Source organism: Homo sapiens, chromosome 20 (genome assembly GCF_000001405.40).
Source record: "Homo sapiens chromosome 20, GRCh38.p14 Primary Assembly".
In the NCBI taxonomy this organism is placed as follows: domain Eukaryota; kingdom Metazoa; phylum Chordata; class Mammalia; order Primates; family Hominidae; genus Homo; species Homo sapiens.
Genome location: NC_000020.11, coordinates 56,741,908 through 56,747,856, shown reverse-complemented (window position 1 = coordinate 56,747,856; position 5,949 = coordinate 56,741,908). Strand labels below are relative to the sequence as shown.

The 5,949-nt window shown below is 47.3% G+C and overlaps 1 annotated feature.

Annotated features, from left to right (window-relative positions):
• Nucleotides 4,533–5,032: an enhancer, noted in NCBI's record as "H3K4me1 hESC enhancer chr20:55317881-55318380 (GRCh37/hg19 assembly coordinates)". NCBI's record gives its function as "activates a minimal SCP1, AML or CMV promoter by ChIP-STARR-seq in naive H9 embryonic stem cells {active_cell/tissue: H9 hESC(naive)}" and the evidence as "EXISTENCE:reporter gene assay evidence [ECO:0000049][PMID:30033119]".

Here is a 5,949-nt window from a genome sequence, read left to right as displayed (position 1 = left end):
GTCTCTCGGAATAATGACTCCATTCCCAGGTCTCCTTGGAGGTGACAGTGGCCATGTGACTGTCGGGGATGCAAACAGAAGCATCATCTGGAAGTTTCTAAAAACCTCCCCAGCAGGTAACACATGTTATTTCCCCATTTTTTTTTTTTTTGTTGTTGTTCCTCTCTCCTTCCTGATAGCTGGAATGTGGGTGTGATAGCTGGAGCTCTGGAAGCCATCTTGATCTGTGAGATAGTCTTGAAAATGGAAGCCTTGTGTAGCAAAACAAAAACACAGAAGGGTTGGCCGGGCGCAGTGGCTCACGCCTGTAATCCCAGCACTTTGGGAGGCCGAGGCGGGCGGATCACGAGGTCAGGAGATCGAGGCCATCCTGGCTAAACAGGGTGAAACCCCGTCTCTACTAAAAACACACAAAAAATTATCCGGGCATAGTGGCTCACGCCTGTAATCCCAGCACTTTGGGAGGCCGAGGCGGGCGGATCACAAGGTCAGGAGATCGAGACCATCCTGGCTAAACAGGGTGAAACCCCATCTCTACTAAAAATACAAAAAGAATTAGCCGGGTGTGGTGGCGGGCGCCTGTAGTCCCAGCTACTTGGGAGGCTGAGGGAGGAGAATGGTGGGAACCCGGGAGGCGGCGCTTGCAGTGAGCCGAGATCGCGCCACTGCACTCCAGCCCAGGCGACAGAGAAAGACTCCATCTCAAAAAAAAAAAAAAAAAAAAGAAAAGAAAAAACACAGAAGGGTTGACTGCATGGAGTACCAGCCACACAAGGCCTGGACCCCTTTCCTGCTGACCTTCTAAGGATGTTTTAGAAGTAAATGTTTCTCTCGTTCACATCCCTGTGATTCAGAGTCTTTGCATTTTAGTCCTAATAATATGGGGTAGGGCGTGGGGAGAAAGATACGAAAGTGAGTAGGAAACATTCCCGGCTGTGCTCATAGCCTAGTTCAGAGAAGACAAATAGGCACCCAGCTGTAACTCAGTGGACTGCACTACCTGCAAGTGCACGGGACAAGGTCTCGGCTTAGCTCTCAGGTGATCACAGAGGTGATGTTTCTCTGGGGCCTGCCAGCCAGGCAGGAAGTTGCCTATGCATCAGGTGATTTAATGCAAATGTCACAAACCAGGAAGGTCATGGGCCACATACGGCCTGCAGATTTGCCTGAGAGTGTGAGCCATCCAAGTTTTGCCACCAACTTTTTATTTTGAAATCTGCCCCAAAAAGTACAATGACCATCCACCCGTCTTCACCTAGGCTCAGCACTGGACACTATTTTCTCACACCGCCTTCTCTCTGTATCTCTCTGTGTATAGAGACAGATGGTGGAAATGTGTATGTGTCGATGTACATACACAGCTTGCTGATGTCATAACATTTCGCATCTAAAACTTTCAATATATGGCCAGGTGTGGTGGCTCACACCTGTAATCCCAGCACTTTGGGAAGCCGAGGAGGGCAGATCACTTGAGATCGGGAGTTTGAAACCAGCCTGGCCAACATGGTGAAACCCTGTCTCTACTAAAAATACAAAAATTAGCCGGGCACGGTGGCACATGCCTGTAATCCCAGCTACTCGGGAGGCTGAGGCAGGAGAATCGCTTGAACCTGGGAGGTGGAGGTAGCAGTGAGCCAAGATTGCACCACTGCACTCCACGTTGGGCAACAGAATGAGACTCTGTCTCAAAATAAATAAATAAAACTTTCAATATATATCTCCTAGGGATTTTCTCTTACATAACTAGAGTACAGCTTTCAAACTATTTAGTGGGAAATGTATCATGTATATGATATAATGATAGCATATTCTTACACTAATACCTATATAACAGCACCCATACTATTATCTAACATGCAGCCTGTGTCCCTATGTCCCCAGCTGTCCCAGTAGCGTTCCTTACTGTGCTCTGAGCTGTCACGTCTCCTCTGTCTTCTTTCATCTGGAACTGTTCTGCTGTTGTTTTCATTTTTGTCTTTTATGACATCGACCTTTTTCAAGAATCCAGGTTAGTTTTTGGAGAAAATCTCCTAATGTGGATTTGCGCTTTTAAAAATGTGGATTTTGCCAACCACTGGGAGTCTGACATTCATCTTCAACTCTGGATGTTTGCCCTCAGTAAGGCTGTGGCACAGCCAAGTGTACTTTTGTCCATGGCCAGATCTGAGAGGCAGCCTCTCGAGGCAGGCTGTGGCTTTCCTGGGAACCTCAGCTGCTCCTGATCCCCACTTTTCCTTCCCCAGACCCTTTGTGCCCATGTCAGGTACTTGCAAATCCTGCTTTAAAGGGTTGAAGTGTTGTAAACACAAGGCTGTGGGGGTCTGAGGGGTCCTGGTCCCCCTGAAGGCATCATAAGCTTAAGGGGACTAAGGATTGGGCTGGAGAAGGAGGAGGTGGCATCAAGCCCAGCTCTGTGACTCCCCGATATGATACAGGCCAATGCAACACGAAAGTGTGGGGCCCCTCATGCAAGAGCCATTAGACAGTATCAGCAGAGCACAAAGCCCAGCACAGGCCTTTCTGAGAACCAAGCCCTGTGCGGTGCCCAGGCCCTGGTGCACAGAACATAAACGGCCTTAAAGAGCAGGTCAGGCCAGGCACAGTGGCTCACACCCGTAATCCCAACACTTTGGGAGGCTGAGGTGGGCAGATAACTTGAGGCCAGTAGTTCGAGAGCAGACTGGCCAATATGGTGAAACCCTGTCTCGACTAAAAATACATAACTTAGCTGGACGTGGTGGCACATCCCAGCTACACAGGAGGCTGAGGCAGGAGAATCGCTTGAACCCAGGAGGCGGAGGTTGCAGTGAGCCGAGATCGTGCCATTGCACTCCAGCCTGGGAGACAGAGACTAAGAGCGAGACTCTGTCTAAAAGAAAGAAAGAAAGAAAGAAAGAAAGAAGGAAAGAAAGAAAGAAAGAAAGAAAGAAAGAAAGAAAGAAAGAAAGAAAGAAAGAAAGAAAGAAGGGAGGGAGGGAGGGAGGGAGGGAGGGAGGGAGGGAGGGAAGGAAGGAAGGAAGGAAGGAGAGAGAGAGAGAGAGAGAAAGAAAGAAAGAAAGAAAGAAAGGAAGGAAGGAAGGAAGGAAGGAAGGAAGGAAAAAGAAAGAAAGAAAGAAAGAAAGAAAGGAAGGAAGGAAGGAAGGAGAGAGAGAGAAAGAAAGAAAGAAAGAAAGAAAGAAAGAAAAGAAGGAAGGAAGGAAGGAAGGAAAAAGAAAGAAAGAAAGAAAGGAAGGAAGGAAGGAAAAAGAAAGAAAGAAAGAAAGAAAGAAGGAAGGAAGGAAGGAAAAAAAGGGAGAGAGAGAGCACGTCAGAGTGTCTGGGTTTTCTCTTTCACCGATGTGGAAGCGGGGCTGCTTCTATGGAAGGATTTAAGGGGAGAGCTCCAAGCTCAGGAGAGTATTGTGTTTCCTCATTTTTTCCTTTGTTCCTTTCTCTTTCCCGACAGCTGGAATGTGAGTGTGATGGCTGGAGCTCTGAAGGCCATCTTGATCCATGAGATACTTTTGAAAATGGAAGCCTAGTTCAGCAGAACAAAAACACAGAAGGGTTGACTCCACGGAGTGCATCAACTCCTGCAAAGGGCGAGGAAACTTGCAAAGGCCTGTGATGGGTGTAGCATGTAATAGATCGTGGAGCCAGCCCTTAGCAAGCAGGAGGGGAACCTCCTGTGCCTGGGTTTCTGCATCCATAAACTAGAAAGACAATAAGAGTGTCCATCTCAGAGGGATGCAGCAAGCCCTGAATGAGACACCTGTGGCCAGGGCTTAGCACCTGCTTGGTGGCACCGAGAGAGCTTTGCATAAATAGTAGCTGTCATTACTAGCAATAATAGTATAGAATGAGTAGGACTCAAAGTAGGAGGGAAGGAGTCGTTTCCTTTTCTCTGCAGTCCTGTATGTTGTTTGACCTATTAACAATAAGTGTGCATTCCTTTTGATATTTTTATGAAAAGCCAGTAAAGTGAAAATTTTATTTAAGAAAAAAACGTATCGTATATCCCTATGATCAGTTGTATGAAAAATTAAATTTATATCACTTGGATGTATAGACTATGTGTGTGTTTACATAGAAAAATCTCCAAAAAATGTATACTTAAATGGAAACAGTGGTTATTTCAGAATCTCTGGATACTTATTTCTTCTTTATATTCTTCTATTCTGTCTGATACAATCTTTGCTTTTGGTTTTTGTTTCGTTTACAATAGGCACACTCAGTGGCTATCAATGGGGGTGGGGGGATTTTGACCACAGGGGACACTTGACAGTGTCTGGAGATGTTTTTGGTTGTCACAGCTGGGGCCTGGGCATTGCTGCTGGCATCTAGTGGGTATGCTAGGGATGATCCTGATTGAAATGTCAGGAGTGGCCAGGTGCAGGGGCTCTCACCTGTAATCCCAACACTTTGGGAGGCTAGGGCAGGAGGATCACTTGAGGCCAAGAGTTCAAGACCAGCCTCAGCAACATAGTGAAACCTCATCTCTATGCAAAATATTTTAAAAATTAGCCAGGTGTGGTGGCATGCACCTGTGGTCCCAGCTACTTGGTGGGGCTGAGGCGGGAAGATGGCTTGAGCCAGGCAGAAGGAGACTGCAGTGAGCCATGACTGTGCCACTGCACCCCATTCTGGGCAACAGAGCAAGACCCTGTCTCAATCAATCAATCAATAGAAATGTTAGGAGTGTCAGAGTTGAGAAACCCCAGTTAGAATCAGACAAAAACAGTAAAGCTGTTTCCATCTTGAAATCCCATGGCTGTTCCTCACTGGGCCTGTTTGTCCCCACCAGCTCACTCCACCTTTGCAACAACATCATGAATTAAAATCACCTTCCCTTTACAGATGAGGAAACTGAAACACAGAGAGTCATGTGCTTTGTCCCAGCACTGCTAGCTGGGATTTGAACCCATCTCTGCCTCGCTCCCAAGCCCCACCTTCATGCCCTTACCCCCATCCCGACCCTCAGGAGGTGTCCCCTGCAAAGGGACCCTGTGCGACCATGGCCTCAAGTCCTTTCTCTGAGCCCCTCTTGCCGCTGGTGCCTTGTGGTGGTGTGAAATTCCTGCAGGCCCAGCCCCTAGAGGCATCCCCGCACCCCTCACAGACCCTCTGGTGTCCTTGCTTGCTTGTAAAGAGCTAGCCTTTGAAGTCAGCTTGTGGGTCACCCATTAGCCCACGCTCGCCCCCCGCCCCATCTCAAATATTCCCTCAGCTCTGTCCCTCCGTCCTCCTGGGTTATCAGTTTAAAGGCCAGGGACACACTTTGGACTTGTTTGGGGCTTTAGTCTCTTAAAGATCAAAAGCATCTCTTTCCTCCGTCCTAATTAAATTTATGTGATTTTTTTTTCTTCTTATACTCCAGTTCTTCAAAACCAGGATCAAGCTCTCGGCGTCAAAAATTAAATTAAATGTGGAGAAGATTCCCCAAGAATCCAGCTCTATGCCGCCCCACACCCAGCCCCAGCTCTCCCTCTCAACCCGTCTTGTAAAATACCATGTGGTTTTTAGCAAGGAATCTACAGGTTGGCCTTCTTCTAAATATCCCAGCCCCAGCCTATGTGGGACAAGCTATAAAAATCTTCCCAAAGATATTACAGCTTCACAGAACGACAGGGTGGGCCCAAAGCATGGTTTGTGCAAAGCCCACCTGATTGGCAGCAGTAAACAACCACCGCCTGGGGACCTTTTAGAACAGCACAAGGATGGGAGGCAGGACGAGGCACGAGTGTCTCTGGGCGCAATGTGGAAATAATCATTTCTAAGAAAAACAACAAATTAAAAATTTTAAGGAGCTTCCTGCTGCATGATTTAAGATCTAGTTGGAATTACATCAAAAGGCATAAAATATAAACATTTCACAAAGTGTCTCTCCCAGTCTCTGTTCCACCCACCCTCAATCCCCATAAAGACATGTGCACACATACACACACACACAATCATACACACACACAATCA